The 21,209-nt window shown below is 45.3% G+C and overlaps 1 protein-coding gene and 1 long non-coding RNA gene across 2 annotated transcripts in view, besides 3 other annotated features; one reads left to right on the forward strand and one right to left on the reverse strand.

Moving 5' to 3' along the window:
- LOC105374428 (uncharacterized) overlaps positions 1-9,265 on the reverse strand; it is a 92,257-nt gene extending 82,992 nt beyond the window's left edge. Inside the window, exon 1 of the long non-coding RNA NR_134668.1 lies at positions 9,172-9,265. This is a non-coding gene — a long non-coding RNA (uncharacterized LOC105374428). The remainder of the gene's footprint in view (positions 1-9,171) is intronic.
- Positions 15,229-15,308: a silencer, noted in NCBI's record as "silent region_15392". NCBI's record gives its function as "represses an Ori minimal core promoter by ATAC-STARR-seq in GM12878 lymphoblastoid cells {active_cell/tissue: GM12878}" and the evidence as "EXISTENCE:reporter gene assay evidence [ECO:0000049][PMID:35858748]".
- On the forward strand, positions 15,485-20,484 carry SHISA3 (shisa family member 3). Its single transcript, NM_001080505.3, has 2 exons — positions 15,485-16,330; positions 19,009-20,484. Exons 1-2 carry the CDS (start codon positions 16,054-16,056, stop codon positions 19,446-19,448), a joined length of 717 nt encoding a protein of 238 aa, NP_001073974.1. The 5' UTR covers positions 15,485-16,053; the 3' UTR covers positions 19,449-20,484.
- Positions 15,533-16,422: an enhancer, noted in NCBI's record as "H3K4me1 hESC enhancer chr4:42399553-42400442 (GRCh37/hg19 assembly coordinates)". NCBI's record gives its function as "activates a minimal SCP1, AML or CMV promoter by ChIP-STARR-seq in naive H9 embryonic stem cells {active_cell/tissue: H9 hESC(naive)}" and the evidence as "EXISTENCE:reporter gene assay evidence [ECO:0000049][PMID:30033119]".
- Positions 16,949-16,998: a silencer, noted in NCBI's record as "silent region_15393". NCBI's record gives its function as "represses an Ori minimal core promoter by ATAC-STARR-seq in GM12878 lymphoblastoid cells {active_cell/tissue: GM12878}" and the evidence as "EXISTENCE:reporter gene assay evidence [ECO:0000049][PMID:35858748]".
- Positions 20,485-21,209: the final 725 nt, after the last annotated feature.

Genomic DNA, 21,209 nt, shown 5'->3' on the forward strand with positions numbered 1-21,209 from the left:
CATTTTAGACTGTCAGCCAGGGTAAGTTGTGTGTAATGTTCAGTGTGAAGGGGCTGTTTGAGATGTGTAATTCTTTTGCTTACTGCAAATCTGTCAAGTAAGTTAAAAACTGTGGGCTCCTGGTCTCCCCAAAGTAGAAGGTAATCAATATATTAAATCTAAAACTTAGTTAGATTTAATAAGAATGTTTGGTCAATTGAGTAAAAACAAAATAGATTATTTTTTGAGAAAAATCTATCAACTTGAATTTTTGTATCACATAAATAAAACAATCGATTGATTAGATATTTCCCATTGTTCTCATTGTGCAGTGGTCTCAGAGTGAATAGACAACTCAGGCGACGGATTTGGACTCTGGAGTCATGAGAACAAGAGCACAGAATCAGTAGATTTGGCCTTATGACCTTGGGCTAGTTACTTATATTCTAAGTCTTCTCATAGAGTTGATGGTGGCAATTAAACAAGGTAACACATAGCAAACACCTACCATAGTATCTAACACAAAGTAGGAACTTAAAAATGATTTAAAAGACTGGCGGAGTGGCTCGCACCTGTAATCCCAGCACTTTGGGAGGCCGAGGAGGGGGGGATCACTTGAAGTCTGGAGTTCAAGACCAGCCTAGCCAAATGGTGAAAACTCCTCTCTATTAAAAAAAAAATTAACTGGATGAGGTGGCGGGCACCTGTAACCCCAGCTACTCAGGAGGCTGAGGCAGGATAATCACTTGAACCCAGGAGGCAGAGGTTGCAGCAAGCAGAGATTGTGCCACTGCACTCCAGCCTGGGCAACAGAGGGAGACTCTGTCTCAAATAATTAAAAAAAAACAAAAAAGATTTAGAAAACTTCCACACCAAAGAGTGTAATACAAAATTAACTGCCATTTTGTGACCTCTGTTTGGAGGGAAATAATTTTTTAAAAAACCGTAGAAACAACTCGGCTGGATGCAAATTTAAAAAGCGATCACGAGGTTACCGTTAATGAATCAAAAACACCAGTGTTCACTAATTATCACCATTTTATATGAAGTTCTTCTAAAAAGAGTGTTTCTTGTATGAATAAGTTATTTTTATTTCTTATAATGAAACCTCTGAGGTCTAGCCATACCATCAAAATGTTAAAATATTTTCATTCAGTTAAATTATGTAATGTGAAAATGAATGATGGCCAGGAGACTGATGGCCAGTGTAATTCTGGTGAGAAATTATGTTGCACACATTGGTTTATTTAGTTAGAATTTTCTTTGGGTAATAAAATTAGTGTTATATAAAAATTAGTTTTATCTAACCTCATGTAGACTGCCATAAATGACTCTTGCAAGTTCAACATCCTGAGCAACTGTGACAAATCCCACGGAAGGCAATTTTACAGTAAACCAGGGCTACCCAAGACATGGTGAGAATGAGTTGTTGTGGATGACTGAAGGCTCCAGATAGCTGATATAAAATATCAAAACAATGAATACTTTATTTGGATTGGAATATTTTCTAACTGTATCATACATTTCTTTCTTTTCTTTTCTTTTTTGAGACACAGTCTCACCCTGTTGCCAGGCTGGAGTGCAATGGCACGATCTCAGCTCACTGCAACCTCTGCCTTCCAGGTTCAAGCGATTCTCCTGCCTCAGCCTCCTGAGTAGCTGGGATTACAGGCACGCACCACCACACCCAGCTAATTTTTTGTATCTTTAGTAGAGATGGGGGTTTCACCAGGTTGGCCAGGCTGGTCTTGAACTCCTGACCTTCTGATCCGCCTGCGTTGGTCTCCCAAAGTGCTGGGATTACAGGCATGAGCCACTGCGCCCAGCCTATTTTCTTTTCCCTCTGTCCTTTTTTCTTTTCTCTTCTCTTCTCTTTCTTTCTTTTCTTTCTTTCTTTCTTTCTTTCTTTCTTTCTTTCTTTCTTTCTTTCTTTCTTTCTTCTTTCTTTCTCTCTCTCTCTCTCTCTCTCTCTCTTTCTTTCTCTCTCTCTCTCTCTTTCTTTTTCTTTCTCTTTTCTGAGACGGGGTCTTGCCCAACCTCTTTTCTTTTCTCCCCTTCCTTCCTTCCCTTCCTTCCTTCCTTCCTTCCTTCCTTCCTTCCTTCCTTCCTTCCTTCCTTCCTCCCTTCCTTCCTCTCTTCCTTCCTTCCTTCCTTCCCTCTCTCCCTCCCTCTCTCTCTCTCTTTCTTTCTTTCTTCTTTTCTTTTTTGAGACAGGGTCTTGCTCTATCACCTAGGCTGGAGTATACAGTGACAGAATCATAGCTCACTGCAGCTTCAACCTCCTGGGCTCAAGGGATCCTTACTCCCTCAGCCTCCCAAGTAGCTGGGACTACAGGCACACACCACCACACCCAGCTGATTTTTTTAATTTTTATTTTTTATGTTTATTTTTGTAGAGACAGGGTCTTACTATATTGCCTAGTCTGGTCTTGAACTCCTGGGCTCAAGCAATCCTCCTGCCTCAGCCTCCCAAAGTGCTGGGATTACAGGCATAAGCCACTGCACCCAATCTATTTTTTTTAATTATTAGACAGATCATATATGGATTATAATGCAAGTTTTTCTGGATGACTCATGATGTATCCTTTTTTGGCCTGGATGTTAAGGAATCAGACCTTGATCTTGGTAGTTGAATTAGTCCCTCCATGTCACTCATGGGTTCACTTTTCTTCTTATGGATTTGCCAAAAGCACAAGACATTAATTCCAATGACTTGTCACAGGGTGTTGTTTTGGCAGCAATACTACCCAGGTCCACAAAGATGGCGGCTAGAGCAGGTCCATCACACACCAACTTCTCCTCTTGTCATTTATCCAGAGTCTGTAATCTGGTCTCTGTGTTCATACAGTGTTCAACCAGAAAAAGAACTCAGGGGACTGGGGAGGGGGCATAAAGAACCATGGTCCTTGTCTTCACCAATTTCTTCTGGTCAGTTGAATGTATTTTGCAAATCTGGAAGGATCTCACTCAAAATGCCCAGGTCACATATTCATTGTTTAGCTTAGATGTATGATGCCATTTCTCCTCTAAGTGCTAGCAAGCTGGGTGTGGTGGCAGAGTCAGTATGTTAGAACTGGCCTTGGTTCCTGCCATTGCTACATTAACTTGCATCATAAATGAGTAAGAAGGACAGATAAATGAAAATACCTAAACGTTTAAAAGGGATCTAGGACATGAGTTTGAAAACTGTGGCTTCTGGGCCAAACCCAGCCTGCTACCTGTTTCACATTGCCCACAAGTTATGAATGATTTTTACATTTTTAAATGGTTGAAAAAAACTTAAAATAAGAATAATGTTTTGGGGACGGGCGCGGTGGCTCATGTCTGTAATCCCAGCACTTTGGCAGGCTGAGGCGACTGGATCACTTGAGGTCAGGTGTTCGAGACCAGCCTGGCCAACATGGTGAAACTCTGTATCTACTAAAAATACAAAAAATCAGCTGGGCATGGTGGCGAGCACCTGTAGTCCCAGCTACCTGGGAGGCTGAGGCAGGATAATTGCTTGAGCCCGGGAGGCAGAGGTTGCAGTGAGCTGAGCTTGCAATGAGCTAAGCTTGCGCCACTGCACTCTAGCCTGGGTGACAAAGTGAGACTCTGTCTAAAAAAAAAAAAAAAAAAAAAAAATTGTGATAAGTGAAAATTACATGAAATTCAAGTTTCAGTATCCATAAATAAAGTTTTATTGGACCACAGCCATGTCCATTCACTTATGTATCCTCCATGGCTGCTTTCATACCATAACCTCAGAGTTGAGTGATTGTGACAGAGACCATATGGCTGGCAAGGCCTAAAATATTTACTCTTTGGCTTTTTACAGAAAGTTTGCTGACTACTGGTCTAGAAGAATAAATTTTCTTTGTTTTCTGCTTAGAAATTCCTTTTTTGGACTGAGAAGTAGGGCTATTTCCATGCTTATACAGGCTCATCCACTCTTATAAATAATGGTGAACAACTGTCTTCACATCACATGGTTGAAATACCAAGTATATTTGTGCATGTGTGTGTTTATGTATACAGGCACTAAGTATTTACAATACCTAAGTGTATTTCAATCTGACCATCACATGTGATGATAATTATTAACATAAATTATTCTTGTGAAAGGATAATGTTTATTAAATTAAGTCAAAAATTTTAACAATACAATTTTCATAACCTTCCCCCTATTCAATCAAGGGCATCCACTTGCCTCCAGATGTTTAGAATTTGTTAAAACAGGAAAGAGGAAGAAAAGGTCAATGCTCACGTTTTGGCTACCAATTTGGAATTTCTTTTGTAAGTTCATAGGGAGACAATGGTCTTGAGACAGTTGAACATTTTCTCAATTCCTTAAGCTCTCCTTTATGTATTAAGAGCTATGCCTGTGTGACTTTGGTTTATTAAAAGTGATAGTTAGCATGCCTGTAATCCCAGCACTTTGGGATGTTGAGGTGGGCAGATCATGTAAGGTCAGTAGTTTGAGACCAGCTTGGCCAGCATGGTGAAAACCTGTCTCTACTAAAAATACAAAATTAGCCAGGTGTGGTGGCATGCATCTGTAGTCTCAGCTACTCGGGGGGCTGAGGCAGAAGAATCACTTGAACCAGGGAAGCAGAGGTTGCAGTGAGCTGAGATCGTGCCACTGCACTCCAGCCTGAGCTACGGAGACTCCATGTCCAAAAAAAAAAAAAAAAAAGTCATAAGAACTCAGTAAATGATGTCAGTGAAGTTCCTGATTCATGGAAGAAAAGGGAAAGCCTGTTCCTGTTGGCCCCAGTGGAGTGTGTGGTAAAAGAAGGGGTAGAAAGTTAAGAAGCAATTGGTGAGACAAGTGTATTCTGGTTACTTCTTTCCAAGTCCATGTGAGACGGGAGGGTAGCGGAAACTTCATGGTAAGGTCAAAAGCAGAGTGGGGTTTGCCTCTTTCTCTGTTTCAGCTCTCGCGGGAGTCAGCCATGATGTGGGCCCTGCTTGCTGCCAAGTGAGGAAACCAGTTAAAATGGCAGTGAGAGGTGGCCAAGAAGATAAAGAGATTCAACTAGCACTTTGGAACCTGTCTAGGTCTGTGTGGATTGTGGAGGGATTTGAAGGGTTCCTCAAGCTGTATGGGGAAGCATGGAAGATAGCTGATGTGCCGGCTGGTGGCTTTGCCATGGTGTATTAGTACATTTTCATGCTGCTGATAAAGACATGCCTGAGAATGGGAAGAAAAATAGATTTAATGGACTCACAGTTCCACATGGCTGGGGAGGCCTCACAATCATGGCAGAAGGTGAAAGGCATGTCTCACTTGGCAGGAGACAAGAGAAAAGAGCTTGTGCAGGGGAACTCCCCTTTATAAAACCATCAGATCTTGTGAGACTTATTCACTGTCATGAGAATGACCCACCCCCATGATTCAATTACCTCCCACCGGGTCCCTCCTACAACATGTGCGAATTGTGGGAGTTACAATTGAAGATGAGATTTGGGTGGAGACACAGCCAAACCATATCACATGGTGAGGGTGATTTACCCTGTGGTCAATGACAAGGGGTCAACTGCTCATTACAAGCTAGACAGGGGTGCAGGGAGGATAGCAATGTCCACAGCACCCATGAAAGCCAGAGTGGGGCAGCCTGGGAAGGGAGGGTCATGGGCCCTTTCCAAGCCTCGAAATAAACCAAGTGCTTGCCAACCACAGACTTCTTCAGAGGATTCCTCCCAGAAACTGGGTCAGACTAGCGCCCCTGCACAGGCAACAGTGAGATCCGGAGAACAGCGAGGGCAGTCAGACTCTCTTGCCCTCCCAGGGCAAGGTAAGCTACTTCTCTCCCCTACCCCTTACACTCAGGGGTGAAGACCAGGGGGCAAAACAGCCCTCCTAAAGAGATGAGCCTCAAACTAACTGAATAAATAATCCAGAGAAACTCTCTTAAAGTAGAAGAGTCTGATACACTTTTTTTTTTTCTTTTTTTTTTTTGAGACGGAGTCTCGCTGTATCACCAGGCTGGAGTGCAGTGGCGCGATCTCAGCTCATTGTAACCTCCGCCTCACAAGTTAAAGCGATTCTCCTGCCTCAGTCTCTTGAGTAGCTGGGACTACAGGCATGCGCCACCTCCCCGGGTTGATTTTTGTATTTTTAGTAGAGACAGGTTATGTTGGCCTGGATGGTCTCAATCTCTTGACCTTGTGATCCACCTGCCTCGGCCTCCCAAAGTCTTGGGATTACAGGCATGAGCCACCGCGCCCGGCCTGATACACTTTTAATTAACTACTTTAATTCCAAGCATGCGTCCCAACCATCTCTCGTATACTCGAATGCCTAGCAAGAAGGGACAAAATATCAGCAGTAGAAAAAAAATTTTTTTTTTAAAGAACCTATGAATAGTAATATGCTAAACTTTTGACCCTTCTACTCTATTCAAATTTGTCATGCAGTTTTGTTCTAAGCAGTGACTTTCAAATGTTTTGATCATGTCCCTCAGTAAAAAACAAATTTTATATCACTACCAAGAACATATGTTCATACACACATGCCTGAAATAAAACATCATGAAATCGAATCTACCTTTAATTTGTTGTGTGATGTACTCTCTATTTTCTAGTGTTCTCTAGGTTTGAAAAAATGCCATTTATGTCCCATTAAATTGATTTCATGACCCATCTGATGTGTTTGTGACCTACAGCCTGAAACACACTGCCCCAAAGGCCTAATGAGGTGGATGGAACATCTCATTATACATTATACAGTTCCGGATGCTGTGCTTTCACATCCTTCTGTTTTCATAGCTTCACTGTCCCAACAACTACAGGCAGCAGCCATTTATTAAAGCTCTCTCCATAATATTTATCATAGCAGTCAAGATGCCTTCAGTTATATGTGATCAAAACCCAATCCAAGGCGAGTCACAGTGGCTCACACCTGTAATTCCAGCACTTTGCGAAGCCAAGGTGGGAGGATCGCTTGAGCTCAGGAGTTTGAGAGCAGCCTGGGCAACATAGTGAGATCCTGTCTCCACAAAAAAATTTAAAAATTAGCTAGGTGTGGTGGCATGTGCCTGTGGTTTCAACTACTTCGGAGGCTGAGATGGCAGGATCACTTGAGCCTGGGAGGTAGAAGCTGCAGTGAGCTATGATCGCAACATTGCACTCTAGCTTGGGTGACCCTGTCTCAACAAACAAATAAACAAACAAACAAGCAAAAAAAGCCCCTCAAACTCCAATCCAGACTGAATTAAGCTGAAAGTCAGTGTATTGTCTTATGTCATAGGGATGAGCAGCACAGTGTTACCTGCAAGTGCAACTGGGTCCAACATTTTAGGTCTCTCTCTTTTGCTTCTCTTGCCTCTGAGTTGGTCTTATTCTCACTTAGGCCTAGTCTACAAGGCAGGGAGCATGTCTTTGACTCCCCCAAGCACACAGTTCACAATGTAGAAGGAGAAGCCCCACCCAACCCCACTGTCCACATAAGACAGCTTGTGGACAGATGGGCCCAGAGAGATAAGGAATTCTGATTTCTTCAGCAAGATCTCAGGCCCAACCCTTGGCCAGGAGTGAAGCACTGATTGACAGTCTCTCTAAGCCAACACAGAATGGGAGAAAGTCGGGTACTCTTATTAAAGTAAGGGAGAGGAATTCTGCTCAGACCAGGAGAAAAATCAAGCAAGATAGATTAGAAAGATAGGTCCTGTATGGCAGATGTAAATCATTCTCTTATCAATAAAGTAACTTAAATTTAGAACCTGACAGTAGGCCTGGCACGGTGGCTCACACCTGTAATCTCAGCACTTTGGAAGGCCAAGGCAGGTAGATTATTTGAGCTCAGGAGTTTGAGACCAGTCTGGGAAATGTGGCAAAACCCTGTCGCCACCAAAAATGCAAAAAATTAGCTGGGCGGGCTTGGTGTTGCGTGCCTGTAGTGCCAGCTACTTGGTAGGCTTAAATGGGAGGATTGCTTGAGCCCGGGAGGTAGAGGTTGCAATGAGCCAAGATGGCACCAACTGCACTCCACCCTGCGTGATGGAGTGAGACTCTTTTTAGGACGAGGGGAGGGGTGTAGCATATACACTAAAGAGTTACTGAATCTCGGCTAAGTGCAGTGGCTCACGCCTGTAATCCCAGCACTTTGGGAGGCTGAGGCGGGTGGATCACCTAAGGTCGGGAGTTCGAGACCAGCCTGACCAACATGGAGAAACCCTATCTCTATTAAAAATACAAAAATTAGCCGGGCATGGTGGTGCATGCCTGTAATCCCAGCTACTCGGGAGGCTGAGGCAGGAGAATCACTTGAACCTGGGAGGCGGAGGTTGTGGTGAGCTGAGATTGCGCCATAGAACTCCAGCGTGGGTGACAGAGCAAAGCTCTGTCTCAAAAAAAAAAAAAAAAGAAGAGTGACTGAATCTCAGTCTTTGACATGCTTAACTGGAATAGCATTGCAGACAGCTACAACTTTGGTTGCTACTTCAATTCCAATTCAAGTAGAGAAACCAAGAAAGATGCTAAGAACAAGATTTCTTTTTGCCTTTGATGATAAAAAGTACATTAAAGAAGTACAAAATGAGGGTGATTACAGAATGAGTGGTTGAACAAAATCAGCAGGTGGAAATATGAAGCAGAAAGCATCCTCAAAGTACAATTATGATAGGATGAAGGGCATGCCAGGTGTTAAGTGTTTTGAATCGTCATTAATGAAGACAGCACTATTGACCCATTTGCTGTGGGAGGGTATCACGTTGACTTCACTTGCCACACTGCATAATCTGATTGTATCTATTACATCCAACTTTTCTGGCTGATGTCCTTGAATAACTCACAGCAGGTGTTTGCAAGCCAGGGTCAAGTGTGCATTCTGTACTCCCGATACAGAGGAAACGTCGTTGACCCACAGGAACGGAAATCAAGACCTTTGCCTTACTGGCCCTTTAAGTTACCAACAGAGCTAACCAAACCCAGACTACCTGAGAAGGAGAAAAATTAAAATAAAAGATACCTTTGGCAAGCAATTACATAACAGCTTTCAAAAAAGAACGCTGCAAAAATGTAAATCATTTCCACATGATTTACAAACTTTAAAGGTGACTTAAAAATTCTCAAAACATTCTGTTATGGCTGGTAAAAGTGAAAAGGGAAGTAAGAAGACAGAAACAAGACAAGAACCCTCTGTGTTTTCTTTCTCCTCCATAAAATATTTCCCCCACCAAAAGCACACATGGCCGCTGAGCAGCAACTTACCATTTTTCCAGGGTCAGTTCACTTTTCGTGCTGCTCTAAACCCTGCTGAAAGCCAGCTCCTCGGGGAGCCCCAGGAATGGGGGCTGGCCTCTCTTCAGTCTGCAAGCACTCAGAAGGAAATGCCCCTTGCTGAGAAAGGGGTGGTGTTAGGGGAGAATCCATCTACTGTCAAGGAAATTTCAATTAAATATGGATGCCAATTAATTTAATTTATATTTCTGCATGAAAAATGTCATTCTATTATACATGCACTGGAAGGATGCCAGGAGCCCAAGTTAATAAATTACAGCTCTACCGACATAATGTGGAATCACAGACTAATCGGATACTTATTAAATGCCCACCTGTGCTTGGGGCTACACCTTGTAGAAATCCAGCTGAAATAAGGTCTGTCCAGTAAGGCCTGTCCTTACACTGTGATCATCTGACACCCTCTCTCATCCTCCTCTTCTCCTAGCTTTGGGCATGTCTCAGGAGAACAACTGTAAAAATGAATAATCAACATTCAATTGCCAGTCGTTATGAATGGGCATATTTAATGAATAAGGGAATGAATGAAGGGGAACTGTAAATAATCTATTCAAATTAATCGGGGAACAGGCCTACTCTGGTTAGCAGGAAACTTGCCATGATTATTTGATTACAGATTCAAATCAGCTGGTGGTGGGTAATAATAATACCTACTGGTTATGAAGTGCCAACTCTGTGCCACACTCCATGTTTTATTTTGCATCCTTGCTATGTGTTTTATTTTGAATCCTTACAATAATCTTTCAGGGTAAGGATTACTCCTTCCCACATCCCTCATTTTAGAGACACAAAAGCTGAAGTGCAGTACACAGAAATGACCTTGCTCAAGGTCATGTGATTAGTAAGACGCACACTCTCCTGTCCTGGCCGATTGTCTTTGCATCATATCTCTGTTCTCTAGGACAAGTGTCAGCACTCTCTCCATGGGGGATGGGCTGGTGACTGCCCTATTCTGGCAGTGCTGACACACTGGAGAGTTCTTCATGCACTACAGTGATGATTAAATCACCAGGAGATGACTCTGTAATACCCCCTGCCTGGGAATTCATCCTGCTCTCCTCTGCTGCAGTTCTGTATAGTCGTGAAACGGATGTCACTCAGTTGCAACAAGTTCTCGAGTAGCCACTCATTGTTTTAGCCAGTTATTTATTCACCATTCACTAAGCACCCACTATGTGCTAGGTCCTAGGATCCAATAAAGTAAAAGGAGGTCAGACTAATGGGGAAGACAGATGCCCTAACACAAAATTGCAGTGTGTGTGGTTTAATACCACGGAATTGCTAACGTTCCTTTTGTTGTTTATTCAATCAATCCTTATACCCTGTATGAACACTTACAGAGTCTCTATAACATACTGGACAACAGGCCCGTTCTCACATTTTCAAGCCAGGGCAGGAAAAGTCATGAAAGCCATCAGCCTGAGTCTGTTCTTCTGACTTCCTCTTTCTTCCCATACCTGACTTCATCTTGCACTGCAAGGGGCCTCCCATGTATGTGTCTGGGCATCCCAGCCTATGTGTACAAATTTTGAAACACCTCCCGCCAGAACCTCTTAACATCAGGAAGAGGCTTCTGTGCAGCCTAGAAGCAACTTTTGGCCTCTTTGAGTAGGGAGTGCTGGGATCCAGGACCCAGAGAGTGGTACAAAAAGGGAGGGAATGGGCTTTGGGTGGGCACTGCCCTCTGGCTCTATTCACTCTTTCCCCTGTGGCTGCAGACAGGGCAGAGGAAGGCCAGAGGGCCTCAGAGTATGGTCCTCAATGCAGCCACTTGGCATCACCTGGAAACTCATTAGAAATGCAGAATCACAGGCCCCACTGCAGACTTTGTGAGAGTCAGGTCTGCTTTTTTTTTTTTTTTGAGATGGACTCTTGCTCTGTCACCCAAGCTGGAGTGCAGTGGCGTGATCTCAGCTCATTGCAACTTCTGCCTCCCGGGTTCAAGCAATTCTCCTTCCTCAGCCTCCTGAGTAGCTGGGGTTACAGGTGCACGCCACCACGCCCGGTCAATTTTTGTATTTTTAGTAGAGATGAGGTTTCACCATGTTGGCCAGGCTGGTCTCAAACTCTTGACCTCAGGCGATCCGCCCGCTTCGGCCTCCCAAAGTGCTGGGATTACAGACGTGAGAGCCACTGTGCCCGGCCAGATCTGCATTTTAACAAGATTCCCAGGTATTTCATGGCCTTTTGAGAAACACTCTCTAAGGGCCCTAGCTTAAGCCCCTCTTTTGGTAAATGAAGAGACTGAGGCTGCCCGAAACACAGGGCAGGAAGAGGGGCCTGGCCTGGGGCTGGGTTGCCCAGGTCTGAGAGTGTCCTTCTAGGCACCTTGCTATTCTCTAGGGTAAACATGTGCCACAGCAAATTTCAGAGAAAACACCTTTCGAGTAACTCAGATTGAGAGGGGCCTGGAGTAAGAGATTTACAACAAGCGATCCAAGGAAGAGAATTCCATGAAGTCATGGGCAAGGTAATTAAAGGAAAATTAAATTAAAGTGTTTTTTTCTGAATTAAAGGAGAGTGAAAACAAGTCATTGCACAAGCAAACTTGAGGGAGGGTTGAGGAACTCTTGTTTTTCATTTTGTTTCTGAGGCCAATGCAAATGAGCTGGAGTAGACTCTTCCATAGTCCAGTGAACTGCCCTTTTTTGTTTTTGTTTTTGTTTTCTGCATTCCTTTAGCCTTCCTCCTTTTTCCTCAGTATATTTTAGTTCCCAAACCTTTCTGATCCATGTGGCCCTTCACCTCCCTGCTTTTGGTTTTCTCAAATCATTCACTCAGCTCCAAAGAATATAAAAAAGATAAGTCAACAGAACAATTTTTTTCTTTTTTATTTTTTTTGAGACACGGCATCACTGTTCACCCAAGCTGGAGCGCAGTGGTGCCACCGCTGCACACTGCAGCTTCCACCTCTTGGGTTCAAGTGATCCTGCCACCTCAGCTACCCCAGTAGCTGGGCCTACAGACATGTGCCGCCATGCCCAGCTAATTATATTTTTATTAGTAGAGATAGGGTCTCACCATGTTGCCCAGGCTGGTCTTGAACTCCTGAGCTCAAGGGATCCTCCCTCCTCGCCCTCCCAAAGTGCTGGGATTATAGGCATGAGCCACCATGTCTGGCCAGAACAAAGTTTAAAAATATGGTCAGCAAATATGTCCTAAGAATATTAAATGCATCGGCTGGGCGCAGTGGCTCACGCCTGTAATCCCAGCACTTTGGGAAGCTGAGGTGGGCGGATCACCTGAGGTCAGAAGTTCGAGACCAGCCTGGCCAACATGGTGAAACCCCATCTCTACTAAAAATACAAAAATTAGCCGGGCATGGTGGTGGGTGCCTGTAGTCCCAGTTACTTGGGAGGCTGAGGCAGGAGAATTGCTTGAACCCAGGAAATGGGGGTTGCAGTGAGCCGAGATCATGCCATTGCACTCCAGCCTGGGCAACAGAGTGAGACTCCGTCTCAAACAAAAGGAAAAGAAAAGAAAAAAAGAGTTGCATTTCGATTTTATAAGTTCCCTTCAGCCAGCTACAGTTATCTACATGTTGCCAGTTGTGTTTCAGTTCTGCCTAGCCCATCTTCTCATCCCTATTGCTCACCTATCTTTTCTTTTTCCTCCTACCCTCCCTCTTTTCTTTCCCTTTCTTTCTGCCTTTCTCTCCTCTCTTTCTTTCTTGCTGGTGTTTATTAAAGCATAGTCCAGACATCATGTCAATTAACTCACTTCCTACAGAGTTTCCTTGAGGCAGGGCCACAAGAGAATGTATGTAGGCTGGGGAAATGATCTCTTATGATTATGTTCTTGACCAAAATAAGGAATTTGTGTTACTGAGATAAGAAACAATAAAGAATTTCCAAAACCTCTTCATAATACCCCAGATATTGTGGACTTTATTTTCTATCTCTATGTCTTCCCCCTAGAGTCTTTCAGGGGTGTCTATGAGAACTTTTTCATCTTCCTTTACTATTAAACTAGTAACAGAATAACAAAAACTTTGGATGTTTATATATCTAAAAAGAGGTGAATATTCTCTTTCTGTTGGTGAAAAGGATTCTCAGGGCATCAGTTTTGAAGTTAAAATTTGACAATGGAAAGTTTGCAGAGATCTTCTATGACAAGAAACCAAACATATCACTGCCTCCCCCCAACCCCTCGCCCAGGCAAACTCCTGAAGCTGATTGTTGTAATGGTTTTAAAGGTGCTTAGGATGAGGACCTAGATCTGAAGCATGGTGCACAGTTGTTTACTGTTCACACAAGTCAGATCTACGAAGGATCAAGTAATTTGGAGGTTTGGTTACTTTCCATTAGTAAACATCATCCAACTAAATTTGGGTAAAATGCCCTCTAAATAAGTCAAGTAGACAGGAGCTTTGAATGAGGGAATTAATTATAGCTGGTGTCTCCAGGAAAAAGAATCCCACTGTGGCATGGAGAATGTAATTAATGGGAGGTAAGTGCCAACAAATCACTCCTTAAAATATTAATGCTATCAAAGAACAGCTGGATAATGAGAGAAACTTGACCCTTGGGGGACCAGCAAAGGTTGCTGCTGCAGCAGAACTTTATGCAGTTATGACGTAATGAAATTCCTCTAAATTTTAACAAAAACTAATATTAAAAGGTGTGGTTCTGGGAAAGTTATTAGCAGTAAACATGTCATAATTTTTATCATCTGATTATAATCACTATATCTCATTTTTGCTGTGTTTCTAAGTGACATTTTCCTGTAATTGCTCAGGATATATATACAATTGAAACAACACTCCTAAAAAACAACTAGAGTTAAAAAAAAGATTAAGTCTGGCAAGACCTTTTTTTTGTAAATAAAAAACCCAATATCTAAGAAATTTCTGCAAAACAATTTCCCATATGCTTAAACTATTTAACTAAAAAACTGTTTCATTGTTTGTTATTGAAAGCTCCAACTTAATTTGTTTTTACTTAATAGCTTCGTATTGTCCTAAGAAATATGTAACTCTAAGAGAGCAATAAAGTTAAATATTTACACGGTCCCACTTAACGTGTGAAATGGACATGTATTTTCAGCAGCCACATAACTAAATGCTAATCCCAATACCTAAAATTAGAAATCAGAAGTAATTATTTAATTGGAATATACTTTAACTTAGATAAAAAAAAAAAAAAAAGAAATCGTTTTAATAGGAGATTTTTAAAAAAGTTTCTCCGGAATCGACTCGGTTCATCAGGAAGCTGCGAACGTGATAAATGCGTTTGACCGCGCACCTTGTGTCGCTGGAGCTGAGAACACTTTGTTCCTTTTGTTTCACTCAACTTGCCGACATCTAACTCAGGGACACGGGTATGCAGCTTGTTTGACAAATAAGCCGAGATACACCGAACATATTCACACATACCAATAGACGATGATTGGAAGTTCAGGATGCAGTCAAAATAAATGCTTGCGTTTGGCCCAGGTTTCACATAACACCAGTTTCATAAGGCACTTAGGCCGCTAACGGAGCAGTGCCCCTGAAAATAGCCCACAGGGGACACATCATTTAAATAAATGTGTTTCTTTCCCTGAACAGAAGTTCAGTTCTGCTCAATTATCATTAATTTTGCTCCTTTATTTCCTTTGCGGGCGTGAACGGAGAAGTCGTGCTCTTTGAGGTTTTGCGAGCTGGCCTTGGCTGGCAGAGGTGACCGGCAATCCTTCAGCCGGCGGAAAAAGTGCGAGTGTGTGTGTGTGTGTGCTTGTGAAAATGTGCCGTTCCTCCCAGAAAAAGTGGAAACGTAGGTGGAAAGCTCAGCACATGTTGGCGACACCTAAAAACCATGTTCTCGGTCCTGAACCTTTAGAAGCGGTATCCCAGGAACGAGTCTGAGTCTGTGCAACAGGGCACAGATGATTCGACAAACTTCAATGACTGCACCGCATTCATGCATTATATCCATTGAAAAGTAAATCCAGCGTCTCCACTCGCGCGCCCACGTGCGTGGATAAACGCGGGAATTCGGCAGCCCTCAACGTCACTCTGCAGAGATTTCCGGGCTGTGAGAGAGTTGGGGTGTGCGGCGGGGGAGGGGAGGGTCTGATATCTTCAGGTTGAGAGTCAAGTCCTGGGGGAGCGGCATGGGCGGGGGTGGCCGGGGGGAGGCGGAGGATGGAGCGCGAACCAGAAAGCGCAGAGGACCCTCGGCCCGCGCCGCACCCGCTGTGATTAGCTCCAGAGGCGCGATCCGGGAGGGCGGACTCTTTCTTAACCCTCATTGTCTCCTCCTCCCTCTTCCTTTTTAAAAGACGCCTTGCGGGCAGAGCTGTCAGCAACCCCGCGGCCGTTTGTACTTGGCCGCGGCGGAGCTGACTCCTGCTCCTGTGACAGATAGGGGCTGGGGCTGAGCGGCCGCCTGTCTGGGGTACTCGCACGTGGGGAACAAATTCTTTTCCTCCGGCTCCTCTCGGGACCCGGCGATCGCCACAGGTTGGGACTCTGTGCGGCGCTGGAGTTGGCAGCCCCGGGCGCTATGGCTCCCTTGAGGAGTGGGGAGGGAGGTGGCCGGGGGGTTGGCGCGCCCCTCGCGCGGGGAGCGCTATGAGCCGGGCGAAGGGCGGCAGCGACAGCCCCAGCAACTGCCTCTGCCGGCGCCTCCCGCAGGCCCTCGCCAACTCGCCCCGCGCACCATGCTGACTCCCGGCCTGCGGAACTCGTAGTGCAGCCCCTGTCGCCTCCCCGGCCCCTGCTATCCCACGCAGGACTGGCTTCGGCCGCCGGGGCCAGCAGCTTGCGACGTGTCCCTGGGGAGGCGGAATCGCTGTGCGCCCTGAGCCCGGGCTCAGCCCTTCGCTTTCCAGCTGCGTCCTGCTCCCGGCCGCCCAGGGAGCCCAGTGGCGATGAGGGCACTGCTGGCGCTTTGCCTTCTCCTTGGCTGGCTGCGCTGGGGCCCGGCGGGCGCCCAGCAGTCCGGAGAGTACTGCCACGGCTGGGTGGACGTGCAGGGCAACTACCACGAGGGCTTCCAGTGCCCAGAGGACTTCGACACGCTGGACGCTACCATCTGCTGCGGCTCCTGCGCGCTCCGCTACTGTTGCGCCGCGGCCGACGCCAGGCTGGAGCAGGGCGGCTGCACCAACGACCGCCGCGAACTGGAGCACCCAGGCATCACTGCGCGTAAGTGCGGGGCCCTCGGGGACATATCCCCGCCCGCCTAACGGCGGCGGCTGCATGTGTGCGCGGGAGGATGCACAGACCCAGGCAGGTCTATGCGCCTTCCTGGGTCTGTGCGCCAGGGGGACGCGGCCGGGTGGGGGAATCAAGGGATGAGTGGGTGGTCGCGTTTCAGATCATGGTCCTCTATTCATTTGCAGTCCCGCTTCCCGCCACTTGCGGTCTCTGCGGGTCGGCCCGCAGGGAAAGTTTGCCAGGGACAGTGAGGAGCGCGGGGCTTGTGCCTGGTAGCCGGGGGGAAGACAGCTGGAGCTCCCGGGAGAAGGGTAGTGCGGGTAAAGCCAGGGTAGACTTGGGTTTTGGTGGAGGGGCCGAGGGTGTCCCATTGCTCGCCCTTGTCACTTCGGGAGCTTCGGGAAGTGCCGAATGCAGGGAATCGCGACTCTTGTCGCGCGCTCATTTGCAGCCCTTCAGGGCTAAGAAACCCCAGTCACTTTTTTTTTCTGTCTTAATGATAGCGTTTCTAAGCCACGGCCCCGTTCTGCAGACTTCCTTTCAATTCTCTGCATCGAATTACCCTCTCCGGCCCACCCCCTATTGTCACGCCTTTCAGAAATGCCCAGGTCTTCGAGGTGGAGATTTAGAAACAAGGGTCGAAGGGGCTTCCCCGCCCCCTATTCTCACTTCGGAAAACACGGGTCAAATTTCCGCTGACTTCAGAGCGGAATAAATCACGACCCCAGCAGAGAAAATTTACACCTTGAAAAAAAGTTTTCCACCTGAATCGGAACATCAGGGAAACGCTTTAGAGCTTGAGGCGAGGGTTTTATGGCCAGGGAAACCGGAGAAGCGGGCGGAGCTGAGAGCGGGTGACACCCCAGGACTCCAGAGAGCCGAGGTCTGGAGCCCGCAAGAGAAGGTCGCCGGGAAAGGGAAGAGAGGCTGGAGAGATCATTAAGGGTTCCCCAACGGCCCCTCCCCGCAAACTGATAACCCAGAGGACAGGGGAGTCTGCCCTCCATTAGTGCTCCACTAGAGGGTGAATGTTGGGGGTCAACATTTCCAATCTAGAGGATTCTGGAAGTAGTTCTGGAGAAAAGATGCTCAGCGGAAAGTAGGGAAATCTAGGCCCTCCTGGCCTGTTAGAAAAATATAGACTCTTCCCCACGGCTTCACTCGCTCACCCTGGGGGACCCAGCTGCCCTCTGGGAGTAAGTGCAATTGCCCAGTCTGCAGCACGGGCTTCCTCTGCGCTCCCTACTCGGCTCGGATGCCAGAGGACAGCAGAAGGGAGAGGCAGTCTCCACACTCACTGAGTCTGGGATCAGGCAAACCCTGATGGACCTTGGCTCTGTCACTTGCCGGCGGTGTAACTTGGGCAAGTTACTTAACTGCTCTGGATACCTCTTCTCAGTTCTAAAGTGGGCATATTGCTCTCAAAGGAGTTAAGTTGTTGGTGACGTGAGAGTGTATGAATGCTGGAGCGCAGGGCTCAGTAAATGGTAGTTACTTACCTTTGCCTTGCCTTGCACGCTGGTGCTAGTAAACAAGGGAGAATGGGAGGGACACAGAAGAGCTTACGCCTAGTAGCCCACAAATAATTGATAGTTACCTGTCCCTCACTAGCTCTGTCTGTGGGAATGCGCAAACTTCTCTGATGTATTTCCACATCTGGAAAATGGAGCTTATCATGTCCATCTCACAGGGTCTCCAAGAGACTTTAATCAGATAATGAATAAGAAAGAGCCAGGCACACAGTAGGGACTTAGTCAATGCAGGCTTTCTTTCTTCTACCTGTAAGCTGGAGGCTGCGTCTTAGCACGGCTCTATCAGGGGAGAGACCTGGAGAACTGCCCAAGGGGATGCCTCCGGGCTTGGGAATTTTATGTCTGCCTTGTAGAGAGAGAAGGAAATTGGAGTTTGCTCTGTTTGAGGGATGCTTTTATAGAAAGTCTGGGCCGTGGACACCAAGAATTGCCTGGTGATCTATCTAAAGTTCAGTCTGACTTCCCAGGCTTGGATGGGAATTGAGAGGCACGGCAGCTGGAGTGGGTATTCCAAATCTTTCCTGGAAAGAAGCAGCCAGAGCTGGCAATTTGTGGTGTATGGTAGGAGACACAGTCGATTGGGGCCCTCTGTGAATTTCTTTATACTGTTCTTTCTGGAGTCTCATAAAATCCTGGGTCTGTGTGTAGAGGGGAATCTCATTTAATAGGCCTGGCTCCCTTTGCTTAGACTGGAGATTATTGAATGGGAGATGGATTGCCAGCCTAAGAGAGGGGACAAGTCTCTTACTGCTCACCGTGATCAAACTACTAAAACCTGCATTTAAACCTAGAATTATTTTAACCCCTAAAACTCACCCTTTCCCTCTAGTGCCTGAACAGGAGAACAGATTCCGTTTTTTTTTTCTGACTTCCAGATGTGCAATATGATAGTTAATTGCTAACAGAGGCTACGGTATCCGTTTGCTTCCTCCCTGCTAGGAGTAGCGAGAATATTCCATCATCACGGTTTGCATTGCATTTTGGAGGTTACCATTAACAAGCTCTGAAAAACTGAGCTGACAGCAGTGATAGTAACTGAGTCTCCCACCTCTCAACCCTCAGCTGCCCAAGCAGAGTTCAGAATCTGGGAGATCCTCATCTGAGCATCTGTTTATGTCTGTTTTTGCCTTTTAGAGCCTGTCTACGTCCCCTTTCTCATCGTCGGCTCCATCTTCATTGCGTTCATCATCCTGGGCTCTGTAGTGGCTATTTATTGTTGCACCTGTTTGAGACCCAAGGAGCCCTCGCAGCAGCCAATCCGCTTCTCACTCCGCAGCTATCAGACAGAGACCCTGCCCATGATCCTGACCTCCACCAGCCCCAGGGCACCCTCCCGGCAGTCCAGCACAGCCACGAGCTCCAGCTCCACAGGCGGCTCCATCCGCAGGTTCTCCTTTGCCAGGGCTGAGCCGGGCTGCCTGGTGCCCTCACCGCCCCCGCCATACACCACCAGCCACTCAATCCACCTGGCTCAGCCATCTGGTTTCCTGGTGTCACCCCAGTATTTCGCTTACCCCCTCCAGCAGGAGCCCCCACTGCCTGGGAAGAGCTGTCCAGACTTCAGTTCCAGTTGACACGCCCAGGCCATGAATCCACAACTCAGTCAGATGGCAGACAGGTGGAGCCCTGCTCCCATTGCCACATGCAATTCTGAGAAAATTTCCCTTGTAACTGATCAGTGTCATGGAGGAGCATGCTAGGAAAACACAGCACCTTCTAATTTGAAAGTTCCTGTCTCCAATCACAGAAAGGCTAAACCAGAGAACTGTTTTCTGGTTTTGCAAACATGTGATCATTACATTTCAATCTATGCTACTTTTATTCAAAATATGCAGCAGTTTGACTTTAAAGTTGCAAACTGGCTAAAAACGTTTTACTGGACATTCAGCTATATTGCTTAGAAAAGGGCTACATGTTTCTTTTTCATATAAGTTGTTCATTGAGTTATGATAGGAATATATTCATAAATAAGCAAAGAAAAATACCTAATTGTAATTATCAAAGGTTCACTTAAAAAATTAACTATTAGGTAAACTTAAGGGGGCAGTGAAAAATCTATTTATGATTTCGGGAGTAACCTAACCATGAATAATATTAGCATAATGAGAACATTTACTTTTTAAATAAATAACTAAATTTTGTTTACAATATGAGTTTTTCCAGAATACAAGGTTTCAATAATCACATGAGGAGTTTAAAGTTTTAAATATATACTCAGACATTCATTGTAACACAGAGTGTATGTAAAATCATTTCCCCCACTCACTGGAGGGAGTATTTATTGCAGACTTTTTGTTCAGCAACATTTAGTGTTTCAGTGAAAGTTGGACAGTTGGGGCTTAAAACATTTATTTGTAAAATGAGCTATGTTCAAATGTAAATATTTGTAATTTAATGTATTTACCACATTGACTGTACTAATTATTTAGTAGTCATACTGTAATTTTTATGTTAATAATAACTGGAGTTCAAAGTCTAGCTATTGGTATAATCATCTAATATTATATATATCTCCAGTGCCCCTGAATTTTATGTTTGATGACTATATATTTGGGCATATATCTTGTTGGATTAGAATAAATAAAACACTTTATATTTTCATGAACTCTATTTAAATTTTAATGTGATTCATTTTATCTCTTTAGCGATCCTTCTTTAAAAAAAAGGAAATGTTTTTAACACATACTTCATATTTTAAAATTAAAAAAAAATTCCATATCAGGGCTCGTGAAAGCAGCAAAGGAAGTGAATTTTTATGGAGGTCTCAGTCTACAGCCCTCCGATGTGTTTGGCCTGTAGAGAATTCATCATTAGGACGTTTCTCATAAGAATCTGGATTTCTGGCTTCTCATGACATAGAGGACGTGGCACCAGGGGTCCTGCACTGCCTTGGGGTCAGGTCAATCCTCTTCAGACAGGACACCTGCCATTTGCCAGCCTCCTGCCTGGTCTCCCCACCTGGCCCATCTATTTTTGCTATGCTACCTACCTGGCCCCTGCAGGTGTGGTTTGAAAGCCCAGATTTATAGGAATTCATACTATCATATGTCACTCTCAGTTTTCAAACACAATTAGTTAGAGGCAGAATTCTGTCCTAAGAGAGTTGTTTGGCCTTGTCTCTTCATTTTCTAGTTAAGGAAACAAGTTCAAAGATATTCGGCCTCTGCTCAGTCTAAAGGCAGAGGGGCTCTGACTTCTAGTCTCCTGCTTTATCCTGTATCTAAAAGTGGCCTGACTTCCGGGTATCCCAAATTGTTCAAAATAATTAAGGAAAGAAACAGCTGCATGTAAAAGGATGAACATTTATACACATAATCTTGGGCGCACTCCTATAC

The sequence above is a fragment of the Homo sapiens genome, chromosome 4 (genome assembly GCF_000001405.40).
Source record: "Homo sapiens chromosome 4, GRCh38.p14 Primary Assembly".
NCBI classification, from domain to species: domain Eukaryota; kingdom Metazoa; phylum Chordata; class Mammalia; order Primates; family Hominidae; genus Homo; species Homo sapiens.

What these genes read in the sequence shown, in the direction of transcription:
- SHISA3 (NM_001080505.3), top strand. Translation starts at nt 16,054, where the DNA reads ATGAGGGCACTGCTGGCGCTTTGCCTTCTCCTTGGCTGGCTGCGCTGG. An exon ending in GCACCCAGGCATCACTGCGC is followed by an intron (nt 16,331 to 19,008) that starts GTAAGTGCGGGG and finishes TTTGCCTTTTAG; the next exon opens with AGCCTGTCTACGTCCCCTTT.